The sequence below is a fragment of the Homo sapiens genome, chromosome 1 (genome assembly GCF_000001405.40).
Source record: "Homo sapiens chromosome 1, GRCh38.p14 Primary Assembly".
NCBI classification, from domain to species: Eukaryota; Metazoa; Chordata; class Mammalia; order Primates; family Hominidae; genus Homo; species Homo sapiens.
This window is the reverse complement of record NC_000001.11, coordinates 3889133-3915447: the sequence shown is the minus strand read 5'-3', so window position 1 is coordinate 3915447 and position 26315 is coordinate 3889133. Positions and strand designations below refer to the sequence as shown.

The window sequence follows — 26315 nt, the reverse complement described above, 5'->3', positions numbered from 1 at the left end:
TTCCATATGAGAATGAAGGTTTTTATAACTGTGGGGGTGGCTAGGGGAGGGAGGTCTGGAGTGGGGGTGGTCACTAACTCGTCCACCTGAAGCCTGGGAGCAGGGGGGAAACCAGAGCTTTGGGGGAGTCCCAGGAACTGAGGCCACCTATGTCCAGCCCCCCACACTTCACTGGGCACTGGTGCTAGGGAGGCTCAGCGGAGCCACTGGGCCTGCTACAGCCACAGCATCAACAAAGCTATGGGGTGTGACCATCCTCACGGTGGACACCAGGACCTCCCACACATCCCCGCTCCGCTTGTCCTCCCCCAAACCTCACACGCGTTCAGCCTCTGCCACCCCAACCCCCATCCCAGCAAGGTAGGTTCTGGGACATGTGGCCTCCAGCCGTGGCAGGGATGGCGAGTTGACCGAAGACACTCCAGCCCTCTGGCTGCAGTGACAGACGCAGGTGCCCGAATGTTCAGGAGAGAGGGCCGCTCCAGCTGCAGGAACTGGGAGGGGTCGCTGGCTGGGAGTGCGGACAGAAATCCCCTTGAGGGCCCCAGGTGGAGGAGGGACCCACGACTGCGCAGAATGGCAGGAATCAAGGTTCCTCTTAAATCTCTTCCCTTTCTGGGGTGTTTAGGAGTCCAGGGTGGCCATCGCAGAGCCAGGTAGGGTGTTGGGAGCGCCGAGGGAGGACACTGACATGGCCGCCTGGAGCAGGGCCGAGGGCCACAGCCGGGGCTGCCCTGGGGAAACGGTAAGCCTCTCAGGGGTCAGACAAAGGAGGAGGATGGGAGTCCCAGAGGACAGGCGCGGGGTGCATGTTAGGTTTTCCTGGGGATAGCAAGGCCATGGTGACACAGCCGTCACTGACATGGTCCAAGAACCCAAACATTCCAGCAAACAGCGAGGTCAACACCCGCGCTCAGCCGCATTCCTGGATGTCACCATGAAGGGCCCAGCCAAGTCCACAGGGGCGCTCTCGAGCCCTCGGTGGCTGCAGGGGCCATAGGTCTTGGCTGGTTCTCGTGTCCTGCAGCATCCCCGCACAGACCCCTGGCTTTCCTGCCGGAGACAATTTCACATCAGGATGCTGAGAGCCGCAGCCCTGCCCTAGCACTGCCAGCCCCTCCTTCAGCCTCAGTGTGGTCTCAGGTGCGGGGACCAACCTCGCTGTGCATTTGCTGTTCATGTCCATCTCCCCAGTGAGGCTCCGGCCCTCACGAGGCATCCAGGCAGCTGCATTCACTGCTGTGACTCCCAGAGTCTACCTCAATATCGGCACATAATAGATGCTCAATAAAAACTGGATGAACAAGCTGGGAGTGGCGGCTCACGCCTGTAATCCCAGCACTTTGGGAGGCCGAGGCAGGCGGATCACTTGAGGTCAGGAGTTTGAGACCAGCCTGGCCACGCGGTGAAACCCCATCTCAACCGAAAATATAAAAAAGTAGCCAGGCATGGTGGCACACGCTTATAATCCCAGCTACTTGGAAGGCTGAGGCAGGAGAACCCGGGAGGTGGAGGTTGCAGGGAGCTGAGATCGTGCCACTGCACTCCAGCGTGAGCAACAGAGTGAGACTCCAACTCAAAAAAAAAAAAAAACTTGATGATCAGATGGATGATCAATACTTCAAGTGGTTTCTAGCTCAAACCTGTCCAGTCAAGGCCCAAAACGAGAACCTCCTGGCTTCATTAAAATTAGGTTTGCCTAATGGCAACATTAGCCAAACCTAATGTTGATACAATTTTACTTTCAGGCCTTTCCCTAAATGGAAAAAAAAAAAAAAAAGGTATTATCATCTGTCAGTGTCTTTCAAATGCTTGGAAGACAGAGGGCGACCTGTGGACCTGGGCTTGGCCTGCCTGGGCGTCCCTGGGAGGAGGCGTGTCCGCCAGGTCTCCAGGAAGGGGAGGGGATTACAGCACCCCCTGTGTCCAGAGGACCCCCAGAAAGCACATCCAGCCACCCTCCATCCACATCGACCCAGTGGCCTCACCCAGACACCAACAGGCCGTGTCCTTTTAAGGTACCAGTTCGACTGGGCCTGGGGGCTTGAAGGTCAGAGGTCAGGGGTCAGTACAGTTGAGGCCAGATGGGAGACTGTGTCAAACTCCAGAGAGATGGGGTGACCCTCTCACTGCCTCCCGTAGCCCCCAGGCTGCTTCCCACAGAGCAGGGTCCACCTGCGGTCACCGAGCCCCCAGTGCGGAACGATTGCAGAGGCTTCAGCAGAAGGCCACCAGGGTCTGGTCGCCAGACAAACCCACTCCTGGTGAGGTCAGAGGCAGGTTCAAGGAGGAGGCCTGAGGCAGGAACAGAAATGTCGACCAGGGTGTCAGAGGGGGGCAGCACCGAAACCCGCGTCTGCCTCCAAGAGCAAGAGGCTCAGCCTCTCTCTGCCCGGGTCTCTCCTTCAGCCTCATGCAGCTCCCGCAGAAACACAACAGAAGCAGCCAGCTGGCATGTGGCCTGCACATCTCGGGGGCTCAGCATGTGGCATGGCTGTGATTGTGAGGTGGCCTTGGTGCGGCCACGTGTGAGGGTGACCTGCACCTAGGCTGGCTGAGGCTCCGCTCTCAGGAGATGAGGCTGCAGACAGGCAGTCTGCTTGAGGGGAGCCCAAGTGCCAGCCCAGGGTGGTGGGCCCCTCAGCCAGCCCAGGGCAGGCCAGGGTTGCACGACCCTGGAAGCCACGGCTCCGTTCCTGTGGGCTTGGCTGTACCTACTCGATGCCAGGTCCCAGCAGCACAAGGTAGCAGCTCCCTGGACACGGGACGACCACGCCTGGATCTGTGTTTGCGCTGGCTGTGAGGACCCAGCGACCTGTCTGACCCCATAGCCAGGAGCTGGCCCTGGGGAGAGCAGTGCCTTCAGGACGGCGCTCCTAGGCCTCACTTTGTTTAGGATCCGCTCGCCGCCAGACCTTCAGGGTGCAGTCTCTCCTCACAGGTCCTGTGGCGTCGCAGCCACTGAAAACCGTAGCCCCGTCAGGCTCAGGAGGGGCAGGAGGAGCTGGCACCCACGAGGGGTTCACTCTGCTCCTGGTGACAGGCACTGGCGCTCTCCGGACCGCGGTGCTGTGCCTGCCGGGTAGATCTGCTGGGTGGACCTAACGGCCGGCACCAGTTTAATTCCCACTCCCCTTCCTTGCCCCGAAGACTTGGGATAAAGGCCCAAAGTTCATGCCCAGAGGGCGGCCGGAAACCCCCCATCCCCAGCATTTGTGGGGACCACCCACGTTAAACGAAGACTGGCCTCTTGGGAGCGCTCCAAGGCCCACATCCTCAGAAACCCTGGGGACCCATCAGTCCCCCCCCAGGTCCCCCAAACACGCCACCACAGCAAGATGAACCCGGCCAGTGGCGCCCACTCTTCGCACTGGCTGGAGGCGGTGGGTTCATGCCCAGATGCCAAGGCCCAGAAGCAAAGCGACAGACAAGGCTGGAGACAAAGGAAGAGAAAGGAGATGCTGGGGGAAGGGGGAGGGAATAAAAAGTATTTGGAATGGCAAACGGGAGGGAACTGAGGCCAAGAGAAGAACCCAGCCCTCCCCTCAAGGGAGACAGATGGGCGAGGCCAGGACCCAGCCCTGGGGGCGGGTTCCAGGCTCAGTCCAGGGCCTGAACTGCTGTGGGCCATTCAGACCCGTACATCCCAGAGCTTCCTCCAACACAATTAACTGGTGACCTGTAAGAGATGAGGTGATTTCTAGACAACGTGCCTGGAAGGAGGAAGGAGGGAGCCAGACAAACCTTGGCCTGAACCCCAAGTCCCGCTGGGCCTCCTGGGTCTCAGTGGGTGGGGGCCACCACAGACTTGGAGATCTGAAGCTAGGCCCACCTGCTGGGAAGGTCCCTCTGGGTAGGAGCAGCCTAAAGAACTCTGCAGAGGGGCTGGGCTCCCGAGAACAGCTGGGGTGGGTCCCCCTGGGCAGCAAAGGCTGCGTGAAGGAAAAGACTAGCAAAGCGGGGGATGTGGGGGCGGCTGCAGACACTCAACCCAGCAGGGGAGCAAAGCCTCAGCACAGCACCCACCACCCTGAAATCCCTCTCACCAGCTCAGAACCTGCCGGGACAGCCTGGGAGGGAGCGGCGGTCACCGGGATTCACGCTGTTTCCAGACCAGACAGCAGTGGACACGGAGCTCAGCAGCCCCCGGCCCAGCCCGCAACTCCCTCCCTGAGCCCCAGCGGGAAGCAGCTGCCACTTCTCACAAACACATTCTTAATTCAGTGATTTCACTCCCTGGTGCTTGCCAAGGTGTTGGATACCTGAGAAGCCAAAGATTCACATTCTCTACAGAGGCAGCTGCTGCCCCCATCCTGGACTGCTCAGAAGACTCTGAAGGCCGTTAGTGAGCAACGGAGCCGCATTCTGAGCCCTGCCTGCCGCCCGGGCACCCTCCGAGAGCCATCCTGAGAGCGTCCCAGGAAAAGACCGGCGAGGCCGCCACGCCTGCCGCACCGACTTCGTTCCCCTGTCTCATCCTGCCCCCTGGCGTCAGGACTGCAGACACCTGCGCTGGCACCTACCTAAGGCGGCCAAGGGTGGTTCTCCAGGCGGCTGTCCCCTACTCAACAGGGGTCTGCACCGGTCCTCCTCCAGGAAGGGTGCCCTGCAGAGACCCACATGGCCGTGAAAGTGGGGAGTCCAGGTCCAACTCGACCTTGGCACCTCCTTGCTGTGTGATCCTGAGCAAGGTGTGTCCCCTCTGTGCTCCTCCATCTCCCCAGGTGCCAACAGTGGGCAATGAAAGAACCCGTCCGTCTCACAGGGTTGCCAGGAGAATCACGAGATGATCTGCGCAAGAGGGTCCATGCCAGGCCAAAGCCAGGGTCCCCTCAAAACATGCAGCCCTCAGAGGGACTCGGCCACCAGCAGGTCCACGGCACCACCCACGGCACAGCCATGCAGCCAGGGGCTCCTCCTCTCCCAGAACGCCCACCTCCCCCGGCGCCAGCCGCCGTTGCAGGTGAACAGCCTATTCTCTGCGCAGGTGGGAGCCTGCAGCTGCCTAGAAGTTGGGGTGGCTGGGCATGCAGTGCTGGGGGGCCGCATTGCTTCTGAGCCCGCGCATCCTGCTTCTCCATTGTCCTTGGGAGACTCTCGGGGACCCAGTGCCCAGCTTGAGAGAGAACTGGACACTCCAGGCCTGGACCACACAAGTTCAGTGGCAGCCCTGCCGTTCCAGGGAGTTGGATGTCGCTGATGCTGGGCGTCCTCGCAGCAGAGTTTAAAAAGCCATTGCTAGGAAAAGCCCCACTGGGAACATCACGCCGAAAATGCCCGTTTGGATGCAACGCTCTGCCCCGAGGGTGCTGATCACCGCAGACGCAGGTGCTATGTGCACCGAACCATCAACACTCCACTCACAGACGCAGGTGCTATGTGCACTGAACCATCAACACTCCACTGGCCATAAAATGCACTGACTTCTTTAAAACCCCAGGAAGAAATTAATAACATCTAGGGGAAGGATAACGAATTTTTTACTAAGTGGGAAGGCTGGCCTCTGGTTTGGAGAAGAGTCTGGGTCAAACTGTGTCCAGCCAAGTAAGGAACCTCAGTCCGGTTCCCATGGCCGTGGGGAGGGACGAGGCCTTCACAGCCTGGGGACCCATTTTCCTCACCCCTGTGACAGGGTAGAAGTCACTTTACAAATCACCACGGTACACACCCCCCGGGCTGCAGCAGCCCATGCTCTGCAGAAATGCAAATATTAAGACAACTTTATCTGCACGCCTCTCTGCAGGAAGGTTGCATCCCCTTAGCAGTAGGATCAAAAATTTTTTAGTAAATTAAAAAATTATTCAAAGAACATTTCTCTCTCACTGAGAAAAAAGCAGGGTGCCTCCTTTTTCCTGAGAGGAAAAATGCTCTGTAAAATCTCTCTCTTTGTAATCAGGTTCATACAATAGGCATTAGTTCCGGGGAATTTCAACAGAAATCAGAAATAAAAGGAGATAAGAAAGTTCCAACCAGCCTCCGAAAACGGGCATTCCAGACCCACCAGAGAGATATTCTATTCCCTTTTCTCCGTAGCTCACTTGTGTGTGGGAGGAGGAAGGTCTGCGGTAAGAATTGAATCCTGCCCCAAAGAGGCCTGACCTTTGTCCTCAGCCACTGGGAGGTGACCTCCACGATGTCCTGCCTGATAGGAGTCACTGTTTGCCCAGGGCCTTGGGTTACACAGGAGAGTCCAGTGATGTGACTTAGGGTGGAGGAGAGCCACCATGATGGTCTCAGGGTGGGGCTGGCCATGCCAGAAAGACCAACGGTGTCATGGAGGGTGGGAGATGGGGACCACACGGTGGCAATCGGCCGCAGGACGGGGACTGACCATTTGGGTGGTCACTCAATCAGCCATGCCCATGGAATGGAGCCCCAGTGAGAACCTGGACACTGTGGCTTGAGGCTGGCCCTCGCTCGTGCTACCACGTTGACGCAGGAGAGTCACAAGTCCCAGTCCCACAGGAAAGGGACAGCAAGAGCTCCGCTTGGGGCACTTTTCCTGGACTCGGCCCCCTGCCTCCCCTCCTTTGGCCAATCTTAATCTGTATCCTTTCCCGGTAAGGAACTGATTTATGTAGATGTTGTTCCCACCCAGACAGGCTGGCTCCCCTCTGGCTTCTGCCAGGACTGGAGGCTTCCTGAGGCCTCCCCAGCAGCCGAGCAGGTGCCACCATGCCCCTGTACAGCCTGTGGACCCAGGAGCCAATTACACCTCTTTTCTTCATAAATTACCCAGTCTCAGGTATTTCTTCACAGCAATTCAAGAATGGACTAATACAGAAACCACAACTGTGAGTGTAATAGCTTTCAAGGAGTTCTGGGAGTCCTTCTAGAATCATCAAACTGAGGGTGGCCTTGGGCACCTGAACTTGTGATTCGTACCAGGGTGAGGCCTTGCATGGACTGTGTCCTTGACCTTTGTAACTGGCCTGAACTCTTACTGAGTGTGTGTGTGTGTGTGTGTGTGTGTGTGTGTGTGTGTGAGAGAGAGAGAGAGAGAGAGAGAGAGAGAGAGAGAGAGAGACAGAGAGACAGAGAGAAAGAGAGAGAGAGAGGAGAGACAGAGAGAGAGCAAAGAGAGAGAGAGAGAAATAGAGAAATTCCCGATCTGGTATAAATCTATTTTCTGGAATACTAAAGTTATACATCTTGGAACTGACAAATCCAAGGGAAAAATTATCCCCACCCTTTTGCCTCTAAATTCATGCAACTGAGTTAGCTTGAGAACGTCCAAGAATTCCAGACAGTTCAGTCCAAAATTCGAAACAAGGTACAGACCTTGTTAGCTGCTCCTGGTCTGCAAGCCAACACCCCCACAAACCCAGAGACACGTGTGGAGACCAGATAACCACGTGGGCTGGCCTCCATTCTGTGCCCAGACTTTGAAAAGAAGGATGGAGCCAGGCAGGGGGCGAACCTGCACTAGAATAAGACGAGGTGAAACCATTGCACAAGGTGGCCTGGAGGGAGCCTGGAGCAAGCCAGCCCTGCAAAGCCCCACCTGAGAAGCCAGGTTATGTCCACCCCATCAGTTCACACCAGTCAGCTGCTGCGAGCGGGCGGCGGTGACCCTGGCTCTGCACTCAAGTTTAAGGACAGACGCTGCCGTTGTACTTAGCTGCCTCGAAACGCACTGACCTGAATCTGTTCTGGATTCTTAGGAAGCAGCATGACAGGGAAGTCACAGCCGCAGGGACCTCGGTAGGCAAGTGCCCTTCGAGGAAACTGGGGAATCCTCCGTGGGGCGGAGCGAGCCTGGGTGAGCAGAGACCGGCCGTCGGCCATTCCGCTCCCAGGGCCCATGAGCAGGGCAGACCCCTCCCCACCGACGTGGAGAAGTCTCATTTCTGAAACATGCCACCAACACACAGTCTCTACTGTCCTGCATCCCTAAAAGTGGAGTGATGCCTATTCACAGCTCACTTTCAAGTGGCTGAGACACTAGGCGGGAGAGCCTGCAAGCCCCACCCCGCCCTCCGGCCGCACCCCTGCCTTCCCGCCACACCCCTGCCTTCCCACTCACTCTTTCCTGCATCTTCCCACGGCCTTTGCTGCCCCTAGGGGGCCCTCATGGCCTTTACTGACAGCCCGTGACGTCTCAGTAGCTCAGATGAAACCTGTTTGATTTGAAAGCTGATGATTTTAGTTCCTGAAGGCCACACATGGGAACCGACCTGGACTTGAGGGTCATCGTTCCCAGTCCTGCCTGGGTCCACGTCCTGCCAAAATGCGATACCCGTGAGAACTGGGCAGGGCCCCACAGTGTCTCCTCCTGGGTGGCCTTGACCTGTGTCGGTGGCAGCCGAGGACGGATGCTTGGGTTTCAATGAAGGCAACTGAACACGCACAGCCGCCAAGAGAGGCCGCGGGGCGGGGGAACCTCAGAACCCCGTAATCTCTGCCCTGGGTGCAGACAGTTCTTCAGGAATTCCTCATCCTGCACATGGCCTGAGCATGGCTACACGGCCACAGAGGGAAAAACAGCTGCCCATCAATGACTAGTACGTTTGCGGGAAAATCCATTTATCTGTTGGCCCTGCCATGCCCCTGATGTTTGACCAAGTGAGCCTACGGTGCGCTGGGCACAGGGGCATCTGCGAGTGGGAGGCAGACGTGGATCTGCAGGGAGGGACCTGTCCACATGCCCGCTCCCAGCCTGAACCTCACTCTGCCATCAGCCCGATCCCCAGCCGGTTTCCACTGCCAGCGGCCCCTGCTTGAAGGCAAGGGAGCTCTCAAAATAGGGCTTTTCATCTTGGTGTTTTTCTTCCAGACTGCCCAAAGGTTCTCATAAAATGGCAATTTTTTTTTTCATCTAGTTGGAAATTTAGCCTTCTCCAGGCTCTGCAAATCCCAGGCCTTTTCTTCAAAGGACACTGCAGCGTGATCCCAGCGGAGGGCTGGCAGCAAGGCACAAAGTGGCCCATCGCTCGGAGCTTTTCTGCTGGATGATGTTGGAGTTCACGATTTGAATGTTCCCCCCTGGTGTGCAGTTTCACTGATACCCAAATGGAGCATGTTCTTCATACAGTCAGGGCAAGCGGAGACTACGGGGTTCCCGAGGTTCTCCTGCCCTGCAGCCTCTCTCTGCAGCTGTGCACATGCACCATGACTCCCCATGGAGGGTGCAGCTCCACCCTGGCGGGAGCCACGCCCACAGCTCCCACAGCCCTGCCTGTGCACTGCCTGCAGTGCTCTTTACAACGTGTGTGCAGAGAGCCCAACAAACTTTTGATGAATGAAACCGGTGGACTCCACCAGGAGACAAGTCCTGGCTTCCGCTGGAGCATCTCCACCGGGCCTGCGTCGGTGAAAAGCAGAGGCAAGCGAGTTCTCCTAGGTAGACCTCCACATCCTGCCTACTTACACAGTGATGGTTAGCTGCCATCAATAAGAACAGAAGCACAATTCAATTTTTAGAACACACACAATTAGGTGCCCATAAAAAACGGAAGCCAAAAATTAAAAGACAAATGAATGAGAAAGAACAAAACAAAACCACAATATTGAGAAACGTTAAGGAGGACTCAAATTTCCTGGCAAGGGGGCAGAGAGGGGCCAGGGCTGGGTGTGAACCTGGGAAGACACGGCCAGGCCGGGCTGACCAAGCCGGGTCAGGCCATGGGTCATGACCGCCTGGAGACCACAAGGGCGTCGGGCTGGGTCAGATGCCATGGACCCACCACTGCCTCCTGATCCCAGCACGTTGTAGGATATATGAAGCAGAAAATGGTCTACTCTACTCAAACATCGTCATGTCACAGACTACTGATCAGTCTACAAAGCGGGCTACAAGAGTCCAGTGGATGCTCAGCCTCCAGTGAGGGCCCCAGGGGCGCAGGCATTGGGCCCTTCCACCGGCACCTCCTTCCCCATCTCTGCACGGCGCCAACAGTTCCTATGTACTCTACACCTGATTCTGATGCCACCAACTCCAGAAGAGACCCTCTGCCCCATGCTGGTGGCTCCCTGAAGTTTCTGGGCATCTTCCAACTGCCCCAGGGGTAGTCCTGTGAGTCTCTCAGGCACCCTAGCAGGCTCAGAGCCTACATCCTTCTCCGCTGTGTCCTTCATTCAAGGCAGGACCTTGGCACATGTGCACGGGGCAGACACGGGAGGAGCTGCGATACTTTCCAACAGCAGACGGCTGTCCTACCACAGGGTTATTTTTGCCCAGCTAAGTCGGGTGGACCGAGAGGATAGGAGAGGGTGGGCTATTAAGAAAACATTAGTTTAGGTCAATTCAAAGAGAACTTTTTTTTTTTTTTTGACAAAGTTTCACTCTGTCACCCAGGCTGGAGTGCAGTGGTGCGATGACATTTTAAAAGCATGCTGCAAGCTTTTTTTCCCCTGCCTTCTCCCTCTCTCTCTCTCTTTCTACCTATTACTTCTTTCTTTTAATTATAAAAGGCCATATGCAAGAGAGGCCCTGTCATCATACAGGCCACCATCTGTTGGCAGGAATGCAATGTGCTCTGGCCGGGGTGGCCTCAGTTAACGGGTCTACCGACTGCTAGTCAGTTGAAAAATCTCTTCAACTTTCTCACTGGCCCTACAGTGTTTGTCAAAGGCAAATACTGAACTGGGGCACAGCAGTGTTTTAAGTCAGAAATTTGTGGTATGGGCAAGAATGCAAAGTTTCCTCCAATCCACAATCCTCAAGTTCTCTGTGTGCGTCTCGCCCCCGGCCAGCCAGCCAGCCAGCCAATGTCCTCTGGGTATCACCAGCCTCCGTGAACAAAACACGGACCCTGCCTTCCAGGGGCGTACAGTTCAGGTGGGGGGCCAGCCACGTACAAGCCTGCACAGACTTCACACGCCTGCCACCATGGGGAGTCTCACTGTGCCCTGACCTGGCCGGGTGGGGGCACAGCTAATCAGGAATAAGAACAGAAGCAGACACAGCGAACCCGGGAAGCTGTGGTGTGGAGGTGGCTTCGGCCAAGCCTGGTTTTGGGGAACCCAGGAAACCGTGGTGTGGAGGTGGCTTCGGCCGAGCCTGGTTTTCTGCTCCCTCCAGGGTCTCCTGCAATTCCACATGGCAGCTTGAGGTGGAGCGGGGGAGAGAATTCAAGATTGGCTCCTCTGCCCACGCCAACACCTCCCACCTCGTCAGGAGGGGTAGCCTGTCCAGACAGGGCTCCACTGCACATCCAGCCTTGACTAGGAGGCTCTGTTTCCCCCGGGTGGGCCTGAAAGGGGCCTGCATCCTACAGGATGAGGGAGGGAGAGGGGGCCCCAGCCACTTCCTCCCAGGATCCTCACCCGACACCCCCAGCTCTGTGCTGTTGCCCATGTGGCCTCTCCCCCGTGGCTCCCATCACACTGCAAACGTACAATTCTGTGTGATGATTCCATGCCTGGGCTTGCGCCTGGCCCAGTCCCCAGAACACAGTGGAGCTTGATACCTTGAGTGAATGAGTGGATGCGCCATGCTCTGGGATAGCACCGGAGAAACGGTCCTGGCCTGCCACGGGGTCCTGGTAGAAGAGTGCAGAACACTAAAAAAGCAGCAACCGGCAGATTGAATGTAGGGGGCGGGGGAGCATCCAGGAAGGGCCCCCTGAGGACAGGAGATATAAGCTGAGTTGAGGTTTAACAAATGGATTAGCCAGGCAAAACGTGGGTTGGGGAGCTGGGGAAAGAAGGTTTTCAGGCACAGGGAAGTGGGGAAGAGGCTTTGCAGTGGTCAGGAGCTGAGGGAGGCACTGTGGATAGCAGAGGGGCAGGGGAACAGGTGCTGGGACTCTGTGCGGCTGGAGCAGGGAGCGGCAACGGTGAGCAAGCTCAGAAGCCCTTCCGCACATTCATTGGACAAACACCTGCTGGGCACCCACAGTGTGCCAGGCACCATGCCAGGACTTACAGGCCACTCTAAGACTGTGGCTCTGGATCCCAGAAGCAGGGGATCACCCCAACAGCTGTGGGCTGCCCAGGCCAGAGGAAAAGGAGAGACCAGCCGTGAGGCTTCAAAGTCTAGAATTAACAGCAACCGGCATCTGACAGGATGTGGGCAGGGAGAGAGAGACATTCACCAATGGCCTGGGTGTCAGGCCTTACAGCTGGGAGGCTGGAAACCATGCTCATCCCAGACCTGGGGAGAGGACAGACAACATTGGTGAAGGGAAGGAGAGTGCCCTTTGGGATGTTAAAAGTCCACATGGCTCGGAGCCCAGAGCCCCCATCGGGCGGGCGAGGCCAGGCAGTGAGGCATTTACATCAACTGGCACCAACCACAAACAAGACAGGCAAACACCAGCCAAGCCCCAGTGGATGAAAACTTTGAGCTCCCAAGGACTGGGAAATAAAACCACTGAACCAAGCTTATTATGAAATCAATCTCTGCGAAAATGGGACAGGCTAGGTGTTTAACAAAGTATCGCTCGCTCTCATTTTTTTCTGAACAGCTGGCAGCGATTATATTAAGTTTCCATTTCAAACGCATTTCCTGCCAGTTACACATTTGTCTCCTCCCCTTCTGTACAACATGGATAATAACACGGGAGAAGCGCAGGGCTAGGAAGAGAGAGGGTACAACAGCCAGGTAGGACATGTGTGTGTGTGTGTACACCAGGGCTGCAAGCATCTTCACTCACTGCCGAAAGCAAAACCCCACGTGCAGTCTAATTTGAGGGCTCCACCTAATTACCAAACGTCACACTTCTAAAGAGAGTGGAGGCTGCATAGAGCTCAAGCTGGCAGGATCCTTAAATACTCTCCCTTCTCAGGCACTAAAAGGAGGCATCAGCTGCATGTCTGGGCTTTGAGAGAGTCATACCGTAAGAGAAGGCACACTGATGCTTTTGGAAGAGATTATGAATCACACCCTGCCTTGGAACAGTGCACAGAGGGACCCTGAGCAGGCCATGAAGCCACAATGCAATGCAGTTCACTTTTCAACCTTTGTAGTTTAAGTGGAAAACCTAATGCTTCTGACAAAACTGCCTGATTTAAATGTTCTCACTTGAAAAAAAAAATAATGATTTAAAAAGGAAATAAGACTCCCATTTATTTGCAAAGCACAGTACGGGCTGCTGGGTGCACCCTGCGCCCGAGCACCTGGGAGCCAGCCCTGGACTGCGCAGCCACCTGCGGGCGGAGAGGGGAGGGGCCAGGTGTCCTCGGCCTCTGATGTGGCTTCCACCCTGCGCCCTTTTCTGAAGACACACATCCTAGAGCCCAGAGAACTTGAGGGCTGGAGGGTTTAAGGCAAGGCTGGATTTCATTTCTATGTTGAAATTCTTAAGAACAGAACAGTGTGCCGAGCGCGGTGGCTCACGCCTGTAATCCCAGCATTTTGGGAGGCCGCAGCAGGCGGACCACGAGGTCAGGAGATCGAGATCATCCTAGCTAACACGGTGAAACCCCGTCTCTACTAAAAATACAAAAAAATTAGCCGGGTGTGGTGGCGGGAGCCTGTAGTCCCAGCTACTCGGGAGGCTGAGGCAGGAGAATGGCGTGAACCCGGGAGGCAGAGCTTGCAGTGAGCCGAGATTGCGTCACTCCACTCCAGCCTGGGCGACATAGCGAGACTCCCGTCAAAAAAAAAAAAGAAAAGAAAAGAACAGTGGGCCTGGCACGGTGGCTCACGCCTGTAATCCCAGCACTTTGGGAGGCCAAGGTGGGCGGATTATTTGAGGTCAGGAGTTCGAGACCAGCCTGACCAACATGATGAAACCCCATCTCTACTAAAAATACAAAAATTAGCCAGGTGTGGTGGCGCCTGCCTGTAATCCCAGCTACTCAGGAGGCTGAGGCAGGAGAATGGCTTGAGCCCATGAGGCGGAGGTTGCAGTGAGCTGAGATCGCGCCACTGCACTCCAGCCTGGGTGACAGAGCGAGACTCCGTCTCAAAAAACAAACAAACAAACAAAAAAACCCACAACAGAACAGTGGTCCTCAGCTTTACAAACACCTCCCTCAGCGGCGGCCAAAGAGGACGCATCACAGCAGCCCAGGCCTGCTAGGGGCGTGTTTGCTGGAGGAGGCGTGGCCGCCGTGTGTCCATCCAGACCTGATAGGGCGCGGCCATTGGAGGAGGCGTGGCCGCTGCGGGTCCACCCAGGCCTGCTAGGGGCGTGGCCATTGGAAAAGGCGTGGCCCCTGCGAGTCCACGTTGGCCCCGGAGAGTAACGGGACGGCGGAGGGGTCATTTCCCGCCTTGCACGTAACGGGGGACGAAAACCGGCCCCCAGCCCGACGCCGGACCCTGGCCTCCTGGGCCCACCGACGGCCTCCACTAAGGCCCCCTCCCGCCCGCAACGTGGGGGACAGCTGAGGCCACTTCCCGGGCGGGCCACCCCAACCCAAAGCGGCATGTCGCGGGGCAGCACAGCCTGCGACAAGCGCGCAAAGCTCCCCAGCGGGACCGCAGCACGGGCAGGCCTGGGAGTCCCTCGCGCTGCTCAAGGCCGCTAACCGGCACTCAGAAACCAGCGCTCTGCGGCACTGGAGAAAGCACTTCCCGCCCTCCTGCAGGCTGTTAGCCAGGGGATGCAAGGGGAGGGGCCCCTCACGGACGTCCCGCCCGCCCCTCTCAAACATGGCGGCCACAGGCGCACCAAAGGAAGAGCCCCTCACAAACATGGCCGTCCGCCCCTCTCATACATGGCGCCAAAGAGGCTTCAAGGGAAGCGCCCCTCACGAACATGGTTGCCTGCCCCTCTCAAACATAGCGGCCACAGGCGCACCAAGAGAAGCGCCCCTTACAAACATGGCCGTCTGCCCCTCTCAAACATGGTGGCCAAAGAGGCTTCAAGGGAAGAGCCCCTCAAGAACATGGTTGCTCCCCCCTCAAGAACATAGTTGCCCACCTCGCTCAAACATGGCGGCCACAGGTGCACCAAGGGAAGCGCCGTTCACGAACATGGCCGTCTGCCCCTTTCAAATATGGCGAACACAGAAGCTACAAAAAAAGCACCCCCCGCAAACATAATCTCTCAGGCCTGCCACGGGCGTGGGAAACATAGCGGCTACAGGGGTGCCAAGGGACGCGCCCTCATGAACATGGCCGGCCACAGGCCGACTTCCTGCTCCAGTGTCCCACCACTGGCCCAAGGCCTGTGACCTTCGCCCGCCGCTTACGAAAGAGCCAACACGGGGGGGGGGGGGGGGGGAATCACATGACGAGGGTGCTGCACTGTGATTGGCTGTGCTGACGTCGGACGCCGCCGCGGCGCGCTCTGCAGACTCCGGGTCGCCGCTCCGCCGGGACGCGTTGGCCGGGGCGCGCGGTGCTTGGCTGCGGTGCTCACACTCATGAGGAGCCGGAAGGTGAGGGCTGGGTCCCGGCAGCAGCTGCGCCGGGCAGGGCGGGGACTCTGGGTCACCTGCTGTCTGGAGAACCGGGGCGGGGTCACGGGGTGCCTGTGGCCTAGGAGCGGCCTCCGCTTGGGCCTCGCCCCCGGCAGTAGTTGGGGGGCTCCAGGCCACGCTCCCGGGAGAAGGAGGGCTGCCAGGTCACGCCCCTGTGAAAAGGGGGCTCCGGGCCACGCCCTCGGAAGAAGTGGAGCTCACAGGTCACGTCCCCGGGAGAAGGGGGCTCCCAGGTTACCCACCCCCGCAGAATGGGGCCTCTGGGCCACACCCCCGAGAGAAGGGGAGCTCCCAGGCCATGCCCGCGGGAGAAGGGGGGCTCCGGTCCACGCCCTCGGGAGAAGTGGAGCTCACAGTTCACGTCCTGGGCAACAGGGGGCTCCCAGGTCACGCCCCCTTGAAGGGAGGTTTCGGGCCACTTTCCTAGGAAGGTGGGGCACCCTCTCCAGAACTGGTTTCAACTCCTGGTAGTGCTAGATGCTGCAGAGCTGAGTTTGTGCCCCTCAACTGCTGCCACTCCAATGGACGTCACACAGCAAGTGACCTCAGCTTGGCCCCATCTACTGAATGTGCTAAAAGTGGGGTGATGAGGGATCCACCAAGAGGGTGGTGAGGATTGAAGGGGGGTGCCAGTGTCTGGCAAGGGGCAAGTGCTCATTGCGTGGGTGTAACAGTTAAGGCGAAGGACCCTTTTCACAGTGGACCCGGCGCGGGTCCCGGTCCACTTGGGAGGCTCTGAGCTGCATGGAGGCTCTCCTGGTTTGTTCAAATGGAGTGGCCACTTGTGAATTCCAACTCCTTTTACTATTTTTATCTTTGAACCAAAACTTGTCTCCTGTAGGCACATATACTTGGATCTTTTTTAAAATGCAGTCTGGTAGTTTCTGCCTTTTGATTGAATTGTTTAGCCCATGCACATTTAATATTATTGATACACTGTAGTTAGGTTTACATTTGCCATTTTACTTTTTCTTTTCTTTATACAAGTCTGTCTTTTTCTTCCCCTGTTCCTTCTTTAAGTGGATTAAAGTGAATATTTCCTAATGTAGCATTTTAATTTAATGATTTTTTTTCCACAACTTTTTTGGGTTTTTTCCAGTGCTTTATGTTTTACCGTATACAGCTTAATCTTCATATTCTCCATATACATCTTAAGCTTCAGATTTGTACTAGGTTAATTCCAAGTGATACAGAAATGTTACTCTTATATGGTTATTTTTGTGGTATTTTGTTATATGTATTACATCTGATAATGTTACAAACTCAACAGTACTGTGTTATCATTATTACTTTCTGTCTGTGGTCATTTCCTTAGCCAGCAGGGGTTTGCTTTCACCCACTTTGTTTTGTTATTGGCAAATATAGTACATGTCTGTATATATTATACACATATTACTGTATACAATTGCTTTTTAAATTAAGAGAAGGAGGTAGAGGAATAGGCATTTAAACTATATAAGAACATAATTACCTTTACTGGTGCTGTTTTTGTGTGTGTGTGGTTTTGAATTACTGTCTGGGGTCACTTGCTTTCAGCCTGATGAACTTCTTTTAGTGTTTCTTGTAAAGTGAGTTTTGTTGTTGTTGTTGTTGTTGTTGTTGTTGTTGTTGTTTTTGCTTTGAGACCAGAGTCTCACTCTGTTGCCCAGGCTGGAGTGCAGAGGTGTGATCTCGGCCCACTGCAACCTCTGCCTCCCGGGTTCAAGTGATTCTCACCTCAGCCTCTGGAATGGCTGGGATTACAGGAGGCTGCCACTACGCCCGGCTAATTTTTGTGTTTTTACTGGAGACAGGTTTTCACCATGTTGGCGAGGCTGGTCTAAAACTCCTGACCTCAGGTGATCACTGCCTCAGCCTCCCAAAGTGGTGGGATTACAGGCATGAGCCACCATGCCCAGCCCATTTTTGAAGTATAGCTTTGCTGGATATAGGATTCTTGGTTGACAAGTTTATTTGAGCATGTTGAATATGTTTGAATATTCTCCATTGTTTCAGTCAGTTCATTTATTGAGGTTCCCTTCTAAGTGGCTTTCTTCTTGGGGCTTTCAAGGTTTTGTTCTCTTTCAAGATTTTGCCTTTGATCTTTGTATTTTTACAGTGATGTGTCTGTGGATCTCTTTGCATGTATCCTATTTGGAGTTCTGTTCATTAAGATTCCTGGATATGGGGCCAGGCACGGTGGCTCACGCCTGTAATCCCAGCACTTTGGGAGGCTGAGGCAGGCGGATCACAAGGTCAGGAGATTGATACCATCCTGGCTAACACAGTGAAACCCTATCTCTACTAAAAATACAAAAAATTAGCGGGGCGTGGTGGCGGGCGCCTGTAGTTCCAGCTACTTGGGAGGCTGAGGCGGGAGAATGGCATGAACCTGGGGGGCGGAGCTTGCAGTGAGCCAAGATTATGCCACTGTACTCCAGCCTGGGCGATAGAGTGAGACTCCGTCTCAAAAAAAAAAGATTCCTGGATATATAGGTTAATGTTTTTCTGTAAATTTGAGAAGTTCTCAGCCATTATTTCTTCAAATATTTTTTCTGCTCCTTTCTCTCTGCATTCCTGGTGGTTCTTATTTTGTGTATGTTAGTGCACTTAATGATGTCCAGCATTTCTCTGCAGCTTGCTTTATTTTTCTTCGTTCTTTTTTTCTCTGTGTTCTTCAGCATGCATAATCTATCGATCTGTCTTCAAGTTTGCTTATCCTGCCAGTTCAGTTCTACTATTAAGCCCTTCTAGTGAATTTTGTTATTTCAGGTTTTGTACTTTTCTACTCCAGAATTTCCATTTGGTTTTTAAGTAATTTATCTTTATTGATAGTCTCTTTGATGCAGCATTATCTTATGTTTCTTCTTTATTCATGATCTTGATATTGTTTATCATGGCTACCTTGGTCCTTTATATATGTATAAATCCAACATCTGGTCACTCTCACAGACAGCTTCTGTGGCCTGCTTTTATTCCAGTGTATGAGCCTACTTTTCTTTTTCTTTGAGTGCTTCATAATTTTTTGTTGGAATTATGCCTTCATAATTTTTTTGACATTTTAGATAATACATTTTAGCAATTCTGGGTACTGTCCCCAACCCTGGGGCTTGTCATTGTTAATATGCTTATTTGTTTAGCAACTGGGTAGATTGTTTTGATAAAGTATATTTCCCCTGCCACAGTGTTCAGCCTGTGATGTTGCTGGTGGGGGGTGGCACCCAGCCACTCTGGATGACAGTGGTTTTAGTGAGGTCCTTTTCCTCTTTCCCTGACCACATCCAGCTGTTGAACTTCGCTAATGCCAGGTTATTGTGCTGTTCTCAGCAACAGCCTGGGCATAAGTTGCTCTACAAACTAATCCAATCAAATTGTGGCTTCTTCGAAGGGATACTTTCTAAGGTCAGTGTTTGGTTAGTTTGTTCTGTGTCCAAGAGGCCTCCTCCCAGCCGTGTTAGTCTCTGGTTCTCTTCTGCGAACTGGTTGGCCTACAATTTGGCCTATTGCTTGATTCTCCACTGCCTCCACCCCCTTCGTCACAGCATCCACGGTACTTGAACAGCTCCCTTAGGCCGGAACTTCTCCACATTCCATGGCAGGGAATTTGGTGCCTTTGGGCAGGTGTAAGAGCTGTCTGTTTAGTTGCCTGCCTCTCATCCCAGGCAGAGCCTCTGAGCCAGGGCCTGCAGCTGAGGACAGTAATGGGCTCCTCTCTGAATAGGGGCTGGGGGAGCTAGCAGCAGCCTGAGATCCTCCAAATGTGTCTTCCCCAGCCTGGAACCACCTCATATCTAGGACGGGGTTGATGGGGCCCCAGTCTTCTCCGTTCACTGGGCGGAGCCTCTTGCAGAGGCTTAAACCGTACTGGTAGAATGGAGCCAAGGTGAAGCCTTCATTCTACAAATAGGGTCTGAGCAGAAAGGAGGGCCCCTCTTCTCAATCCTACTCACTCAGGACCTGGTCTCAGTCACAGGTGGGATGAGAGCAGAAAGGGAAGCACTGCTATCCTGCCTCTCCTGGGAAGACACCCCGCTGCCTGGGAGCTGGGGAGGTGGCCCTGTGTTCTTGGCTGCAGCAGGATGGAGCTCAAGTGCCACAGACTCTCCGTGTCCTTACCAAATGTATGTAGGTGTTCTGGAGCAAGTGTTTCTTCATTTGCTGGGTGCCCATAGGACCATTTCCAAAGGCTCTCTAAATGGCTGTTTTGGGACTGCTCATTACTCTCTGAGAAGGTCAGTGAAGCTCCTCGAGCCATCATGTTGAAGTCAGTCTCGGCCAGCCCTTTTGGAGAAACCATGTTTGTGCTTCTGACATACCAGTTATTAAACAATCTACTGGAATGAGGAGAATCTCAATGATGAGAAAGTCTTTCCTTTTTTGGACTGTGGGAGCAGTCCAAGCTGCCCAGCTGCAGAGCAGGAATCTGCAAGTGAGACTGTGACCAATTCTTGACATTTTGGAGTTGACACCTTGGAGGTGGTTAATCCATGACGAAACTGAAGCTAAGCCGATCTCATGTTTTGACTCCTGTCAATCCGGAGAGGACAGCAAATGGCCTGCTCAGGTGTCTGTTAACAGCCAGCGCTTCCAGGCCCACCAGATCCTCAGGTGTCTGTTAACAGCCAGCGCTTCCAGCCCAGCAGATCATCTGGCTTTTCTCTGCAGAAGGGGCCAAAAGGTCCACCTGATGAACCTGTTGCACGCGAAAAGTTCAGAACCACTGCTGCCAAGATGCTGACAGAAGCCTTGAGAAGCACCTGCTGCGGGAAAAGACGTGCAGGCGTAGAACACAGAGCGGGTGGCAGCTTCTTCAGTTCAATCCCCACCTCAGGCAGTTGTTGGGGGTCATATCTAGGGTGAGCTGTGGTGATGGAATAGAGATTTGGAAGCCAGGCATCACTCGTATAACCTCATAAGCTCCTTACCCAAGTTGTCCTCATCTGAAATGGGTGTGCCACTCCTTTAAAGCTGTTCAGGCACCGAGCTGGGCTCCCCACACAGCATACTCCAGCACAGAGCAGCAAAGCGCCCGGAGGAGGGCTCACAGCAGGGAGGAGAGGTGGGGCAGTGGCTTTCTAGGTCAGAGATGTCTTTTCCCTACGAGGCACGTGATGGCGTTTTAGGGAGATGGGCTTGTTTAAGACCCAGTGGGAGGATTTTGATGAGAGATGTTTATGGCAACTCTTAGCAAGTTCTGTAACCTCTGTTGCCTCAGTCCCCTTGGTGTAACTGTGACCATGACGTCTGCCGGGGCTCTCAGCAAAGCCCTGCCCTTGTGAGAGGACGGAGGCGCAGCCCCCGGTGTGCTGTGGTAGCAGGCACTTCACCCAGCCTGTGGGCAACTGGCGTGTCCTGTGTACAGCAGGCGGGCGTCCTGGCCTCCGGTGGGCTGCTGCCTGCTCTTCTCCCTCCTGTTTCAGACACACACTCTGACTGCCACAGTATCACAGGACCTTGGAGCTGCCACCCCACAGGGTTTCTGGAGCTGTCTTGGGCTACGGGGTGCATGGCTGAGACAGATTATTTCTTTTTTTTTTTTTTTTTGAGACGGAGTCTTGCTCTGTCACCCAGGCTGGAGTGCGGTGGCGCAATCTCGGCTCACTGCAAGCTCCGCCTCCTGGGTTCACGCCATTCTCCTGCCTCAGCCTCCCAAGTAGCTGGGACTACAGGCGCCCACCACCACGCCCGGCTAATTTTTTGTATTTTTAGTAGAGACGGGGTTTCACTGTGTTAGCCGGGATGGTCTCGATCTCCTGACCTTGTGATCCACCTGCCTCAGCCTCCCAAAGTGCTGGGATTACAGCCGTGAGCCACCGCGCCCAGCCGAGACAGATTATTTCTGTGTTTTATTTTTTTGTTTTTTTCCTTTTTTTATTTCTCTTATCTGCTGTTGGGCAGGGCACTCTTCATCCGTCCCCTTCTGGGTTCCAGTTCTAGGGCCTGTTGGCAGCAGCTCTTGGGCCTTTCCCGGCCATGTCAACCTGCATTGCTCCTGTTTGTTGCTTCTACTACTCACACTCATTCCTTTCGAGTTTTCTAAGTGCAGTGTGGTATTGTGGACTGGATTCTGGAACAGAAAAACGGTTCATGGAGAAACCGATAAAATACAAATAAAATCTATAGTTTAGTGAAGAGTACCGTAATGTCACTAATTTCTTAATGTTGACAATGTCCTGTAGTTGTTTAACATTAGTGGAAGCTGAGTGAAGGCTACATGGCAACTCCCTGTACTATTTTATTATTATTATTTTTTCAGAGACACTGTCTCACTCTGTCACCCAGGTGGAGTGCAGTGGTGCAGTCATAGCTCACTACAGCCTCAGACTCCTGGGATCAAGTGATCCTCTCACCTCAGCCTCCCACATAGCTGGGACTACAGGTGCACACCACCACACCTGGCTAATTTTTAAAAAAATTTTTTAAAGATGGGCTTTCGCTGTATTGCCCAGGCTGGTCTTGAACTCCTGGGCTCGAGCGATCCTCCTACCTCAGCTTCCCAAGTAGCTGGGATTACAGGTGTGAGCTATCACACCAGTTTCTTTGTACTATTTTTTGCAACTTTCTGAATGCCGAAAATTATTCCTAAATAGTTATTTTAAATGTTATGTCTTTAATTAATTTCTTTCTTGTTATTAGAGGAGTTTGCTTTGCATTCAGGATAAAAGAGAGGTGGACCAGTTTGTTAATATTAAAATTTGTGAGACAGTCGCTAGCTGCATTCAGCTAATAGAATAGGAGTCTAATTTGAGGAAGAGAAACTTTGGTTTCCTCATGTTACCTTTTTTTAAAAACTTTGACAACGTATGAAAGTTGGAGAGCCTTCTAAGGAAGGGCATGTGCTGCTTATTCTAAACACTTTGAAGTTGACTTAATTTCCACTAAAGGACAAATGGTGGCTACTAGAAATATACAAGATAAGGGGGACAGATCGTCCCAAGCCTCCAAAATCGTGGAAATAGTAGATCCTGTATCCTAAATCCAGGCACAGTTTCATTTGGATTTACACATTCGGGCCACAGCTGTCTCCACAAAGATGATAAAATCCTGGGAGTGGGAGGGGCGGTCTTCGGGTGTTCTTTAGGTGGGAAATTCTCGTCTACATGTTCATGCTGCCTTCCTGAGAGCACTCTCTGAGTGGCTCTCAATCTCTCTAGCTCACAGGTGCAGTGCGGTCTTCAGCGCGCTTGAAAGCACGAAGTTGTTCGGCAGCCAGGTTGGCCTCTGCCCAGGAAGTTGCTGGTTCCACGTCTGCCAAGACAGCATGTCTGGTGAGCCCTGTTACCGTGGAGAACGCCAAGATCCTGACTCGAGGGTCCATTTTTATACAAAATTGCCACTCCAAGATGTGTTGCTTTAGAAAAATATCGACTGTTACTTATCTGCCAGAGGGGGACTATTGCAGATGAAAAGGTGACAGCACTGTAATTGCCTTCAGAGAAAGACACACTCTGCAGGCCAGGGCTGGCTCTCCTAGCACCCGCCCACCCGTGTGTGTGTCTAGACCCGGGCTCTGATCCTAGCACCCGCCCACCCGTGTGTGTGTCTAGACCCGGGCCCTGATCCTAGCACCCGCCCACCCGTGTGTGTGTCTAGACCCGGGCCCTGATCCTAGCACCCTCCCACCCGTGTGTGTGTCTAGACCCGGGCCCTGATCCTAGCACCCTCCCACCCGTGTGTGTGTCTAGACCCGGGCCCTGATCCTAGCACCCGCCCACCCGTGTGTGTGTCTAGACCCGGGCCCTGATCCTAGCACCCGCCCACCCGTGTGTGTGTCTAGACCCGGGCCCTGATCCTAGCACCCGCCCACCCGTGTGTGTGTCTAGACCCGGGCCCTGATCCTAGCACCCGCCCACCCGTGTGTGTGTCTAGACCCGGGCCCTGATCCTAGCACCCGCCCACCCGTGTGTGTGTCTAGACCCGGGCCCTGATCCTAGCACCCGCCCACCCGTGTGTGTGTCTAGACCCGGGCCCTGATCCTAGCACCCGCCCACCCGTGTGTGTGTCTAGACCCGGGCCCTGATCCTAGCACCCGCCCACCCGTGTGTGTGTCTAGACCCGGGCCCTGATCCTAGCACCCGCCCACCCGTGTGTGTGTCTAGACCCGGGCCCTGATCCTAGCACCCGCCCACCCGTGTGTGTGTCTAGACCCGGGCCCTGATCCTAGCACCCGCCCACCCGTGTGTGTGTCTAGACCCGGGCTCTGATCCTAGCACCCGCCCACCCGTGTGTGTGTCTAGACCCGGGCCCTGATCCTAGCACCCTCCCACCCGTGTGTGTGTCTAGACCCGGGCTCTGATCCTAGCACCTGCCCACCCGTGTGTGTGTCTAAACCAGGCTCTGAGGCCACTTGTGCTCATCGCTCTGCTCTTAGCGTGCTATGGAGTCATGCTGGCCCATTGCCGTGCAGCCTCACCGCCAGAGGCTTGAAGAGAAAGGCAGAGTGGGTGGGGAAAGGAATCTCATGCCGTCTGCCGTTCACCCTAGCCCAGCCATCGATTCCGAGGAGCGAGTTCCTGAACTTACCGGTGAAGTAGAGCCGCTTCACGGAGCCTACAGTTGAGGGGTTAGGACTTGGCCATATGCCAGCGTGTAGCACAGAGCTTTGCTCATGATGAGGTGCTTGGTAAAATTTTGTCGAAGTCAATTTCACAAATATTTCTTGAGCACCTACTGTGTGCCAGGCACTAATTGGTGAATAAAGCAAAGACCCCTGCCTTCACAGAGCTTATGCCCTAGCAGAAATGAATGAAAGCTGGATTCTTTTACTGTAATTGTATAATATATAAATATATGCTTCAGAATTCACCTGAGGAGCTGTAACGCCACTAGGGGAAACTGAAAGTGTAGGAGTGGTGTGGAGCTGTAACGCCACTAGGGAAAACTGAAAGTGTAGGAGTGGTGTGGGGTGTGTCTAGATTCAGTCTCGCTTGTATTTTGTCCCTTGGTGGCAAAACAGTGAAATGACGATCTGTGAAAGTTGTGGTCACAGCATCTTTATCATTTCCGATGTGAGAAGAAATACTAGCCTCTGGATTGAGGCCTGTTTTATTTGCTAGATATGTCTGGTTCCCCTTACATTTTTTTTCTTGACAGACTTCCTCATCCCACAAAGCCACAGACACGCGAACGTCCAAGAAGTTCAAATGTGACAAAGGACATCTTGTGAAGTCAGAATTACAGAAGCTTGTCCCTAAGAATGACAGCGCTTCTTTGCCAAAAGTGACACCTGAGACCCCTTGTGAAAATGAGTTTGCTGAAGGCAGTGCCTTGCTTCCAGGCAGCGAGGCTGGCGTTTCTGTGCAGCAGGGGGCTGCAAGTCTTCCTCTCGGTGGCTGCAGAGTTGTGAGTGACTCTCGCTTAGCAAAGACTAGAGATGGCCTGTCCGTGCCAAAACACAGTGCCGGGTCCGGAGCAGAAGAATCCAACAGCAGCTCCACTGTGCAGAAGCAGAATGAGCCAGGGCTACAGACAGAGGATGTGCAGAAGCCACCACTTCAGATGGACAACAGCGTCTTTCTAGATGACGACAGCAATCAGCCAATGCCCGTGAGCCGGTTCTTTGGAAACGTTGAGCTCATGCAGGTAAGAGCGGCGCCTTCCTCCTCCCGTGGGTACTCAGGCAGCAGCTGCACATTCAGGTCACACACTCCCCACTCAGTGCAGGTAAATAATGCCTCGACACAACATTAAACATAAACTAATCATTTTAACCCACGAGGAGAAAATGAAACCGTTGGCTAATTGGGGGCTCTCCCTGCATCTCCCGAGCTGAGAATCACTGCTCTCGGGAAAGGTGTGTTTCCATGAAATCAGGTTTGTGGTTTTTTTGAACATCCACCCCGCGCTTGCTGTTAATTTCTTTTGTTTTGAACCCAGCACCTTTCCTTCTCTTTACTCGATCAGCCCAGTAGGGAGGAAGTTCTCATCTAGAGGCGAGTGCTGGGACTCAGGCATTTTCACACGTCTAAAAGGGAAGAGCGCTCTGCGAGCCCTAGAGCCGCTGGGTGGGGCACATTGCAAATGCGGGTGCAGATATGTATTGCTCATGACTGAAGTCATGTTTTCTTCTCCACTAAGGACCTCCCACCTGCGTCTTCATCTTGTCCTTCAATGAGCAGACGAGAGTTCAGAAAAATGCATTTCAGAGCCAAAGATGATGATGATGACGACGACGATGATGCAGAAATGTAGGGGCCATACAAAATAATGTCCTTGAGTATTTAGTACCATTAACAATTTGACAATTTAGCACATTACAAGATTTATATAAAATGTATCTCCAAGAGAATGTCTTAATCAAACTTCAGAACTGACCCATCTAAGTCAATAGTGCAAAGCACCCAATACCTGTGGAGGATGTACTCATGGGAACTAAAACTCAAACCATCTTTGAGGTTGCAAAGCTGCTGTACTGTGCCAATGTCCTTTCTTTTTTTTTTTTTTTTTTTTTCCTTGGAGACAGAGTTTCTCTCTTGTCGCCCAGGCTGGAGTGCAATGGCGCAATCTCGGCTCACTGCAACCTCCACCTCCTGGGTTCAAGTGATTCTCCTGCCTCAGCCTCCTGAGTAGCTGGGATTACAGGCATACACCACCACACCCAGCTAGTTTTTGTATTATTAGTAGACACGGGGGTTTCTCCACGTTGGCCAGGCTGGTCTCAAACTCCTGACCTCGTGATACGCCCGCCTCAGCCTCCCAAAGTGCTGGGATTACAGGCGCGAGCCACCATGCCCGGCCAGTGTCCTTTCTTATACACGTACATACATGATGATGGCTTGAGTCAGCTGCAGGGCAGTGGGCTTAATGAGAGGGATCTTTGTAAAGACAGCTCTTCACTTCAGCTCAGTAGCTTTGGTCATAGGCAAGTTTGTTTTCCATTATCATAATTTGATGATTCTTGTGATGAATTCAATGCTAGTTCTTAAAGAACTCTTTTATTTCTGTATGTGGAGCTAATGTTTACCTTGGAAATTTTGCAAAATACATGTAAGAAAGAAATAAAATATATTTTGAAAATA

The 26315-nt window shown here is 53.8% G+C and overlaps 1 protein-coding gene and 1 long non-coding RNA gene across 4 annotated transcripts, besides 9 other annotated features; one reads left to right on the top strand and one right to left on the bottom strand.

The window, feature by feature from the left end:
* On the bottom strand, positions 1 to 15044 carry LINC01134 (long intergenic non-protein coding RNA 1134). The gene is made up of 4 exons (NR_024455.1): positions 14817 to 15044; positions 11412 to 11483; positions 1158 to 1756; positions 1 to 1053 (listed from the first exon to the last, which is right to left on the bottom strand). It is a non-coding gene; the product is annotated as a long intergenic non-protein coding RNA 1134 (long non-coding RNA).
* Positions 3340 to 4225: an enhancer, noted in NCBI's record as "H3K4me1 hESC enhancer chr1:3827787-3828672 (GRCh37/hg19 assembly coordinates)". NCBI's record gives its function as "activates a minimal SCP1, AML or CMV promoter by ChIP-STARR-seq in naive H9 embryonic stem cells {active_cell/tissue: H9 hESC(naive)}" and the evidence as "EXISTENCE:reporter gene assay evidence [ECO:0000049][PMID:30033119]".
* Positions 7947 to 8006: a silencer, noted in NCBI's record as "silent region_131". NCBI's record gives its function as "represses an Ori minimal core promoter by ATAC-STARR-seq in GM12878 lymphoblastoid cells {active_cell/tissue: GM12878}" and the evidence as "EXISTENCE:reporter gene assay evidence [ECO:0000049][PMID:35858748]".
* Positions 14096 to 14275: a silencer, noted in NCBI's record as "silent region_130". NCBI's record gives its function as "represses an Ori minimal core promoter by ATAC-STARR-seq in GM12878 lymphoblastoid cells {active_cell/tissue: GM12878}" and the evidence as "EXISTENCE:reporter gene assay evidence [ECO:0000049][PMID:35858748]".
* Positions 14375 to 14944: an enhancer, noted in NCBI's record as "H3K27ac hESC enhancer chr1:3817068-3817637 (GRCh37/hg19 assembly coordinates)". NCBI's record gives its function as "activates a minimal SCP1, AML or CMV promoter by ChIP-STARR-seq in primed H9 embryonic stem cells {active_cell/tissue: H9 hESC(primed)}" and the evidence as "EXISTENCE:reporter gene assay evidence [ECO:0000049][PMID:30033119]".
* Positions 14476 to 14735: an enhancer, noted in NCBI's record as "active region_68". NCBI's record gives its function as "activates an Ori minimal core promoter by ATAC-STARR-seq in GM12878 lymphoblastoid cells {active_cell/tissue: GM12878}" and the evidence as "EXISTENCE:reporter gene assay evidence [ECO:0000049][PMID:35858748]".
* Positions 14945 to 15513: an enhancer, noted in NCBI's record as "H3K27ac hESC enhancer chr1:3816499-3817067 (GRCh37/hg19 assembly coordinates)". NCBI's record gives its function as "activates a minimal SCP1, AML or CMV promoter by ChIP-STARR-seq in naive H9 embryonic stem cells {active_cell/tissue: H9 hESC(naive)}" and the evidence as "EXISTENCE:reporter gene assay evidence [ECO:0000049][PMID:30033119]".
* C1orf174 (chromosome 1 open reading frame 174) lies at positions 15176 to 26315 on the top strand. Of its 3 annotated transcripts, XM_011541323.3 has the most exons (5): positions 15867 to 20153; positions 22452 to 22707; positions 23669 to 23822; positions 24391 to 24879; positions 25375 to 26315. In XM_011541323.3, the coding sequence occupies exons 2-5, from the start codon at positions 22700 to 22702 to the stop codon at positions 25486 to 25488; spliced, it is 765 nt and encodes a 254-aa protein (XP_011539625.1). In that variant the 5' UTR covers positions 15867 to 20153; positions 22452 to 22699; the 3' UTR covers positions 25489 to 26315. The 3 variants fall into 3 exon arrangements, with proteins under 3 accessions (NP_997239.2, XP_047275177.1, XP_011539625.1); NM_207356.3 differs by lacking the exons at positions 15867 to 20153; positions 23669 to 23822 and adding an exon at positions 15176 to 15276 and having other exon boundaries at positions 22452 to 22565; XM_047419221.1 differs by lacking the exons at positions 15867 to 20153; positions 25375 to 26315 and adding an exon at positions 15176 to 15276 and having other exon boundaries at positions 22452 to 22565; positions 24391 to 24516.
* Positions 15356 to 15425: a silencer, noted in NCBI's record as "silent region_129". NCBI's record gives its function as "represses an Ori minimal core promoter by ATAC-STARR-seq in GM12878 lymphoblastoid cells {active_cell/tissue: GM12878}" and the evidence as "EXISTENCE:reporter gene assay evidence [ECO:0000049][PMID:35858748]".
* Positions 15514 to 16084: an enhancer, noted in NCBI's record as "H3K27ac hESC enhancer chr1:3815928-3816498 (GRCh37/hg19 assembly coordinates)". NCBI's record gives its function as "activates a minimal SCP1, AML or CMV promoter by ChIP-STARR-seq in naive H9 embryonic stem cells {active_cell/tissue: H9 hESC(naive)}" and the evidence as "EXISTENCE:reporter gene assay evidence [ECO:0000049][PMID:30033119]".
* Positions 24103 to 24192: a silencer, noted in NCBI's record as "silent region_128". NCBI's record gives its function as "represses an Ori minimal core promoter by ATAC-STARR-seq in GM12878 lymphoblastoid cells {active_cell/tissue: GM12878}" and the evidence as "EXISTENCE:reporter gene assay evidence [ECO:0000049][PMID:35858748]".

What these genes read in the sequence shown, in the direction of transcription:
- C1orf174 (XM_011541323.3), top strand. An exon ending in GCGAGTTCCTGAACTTACCG is followed by an intron (nt 23,823 to 24,390) that starts GTGAAGTAGAGC and finishes TTTTCTTGACAG; the next exon opens with ACTTCCTCATCCCACAAAGC. An exon ending in GAAACGTTGAGCTCATGCAG is followed by an intron (nt 24,880 to 25,374) that starts GTAAGAGCGGCG and finishes TTCTCCACTAAG; the next exon opens with GACCTCCCACCTGCGTCTTC.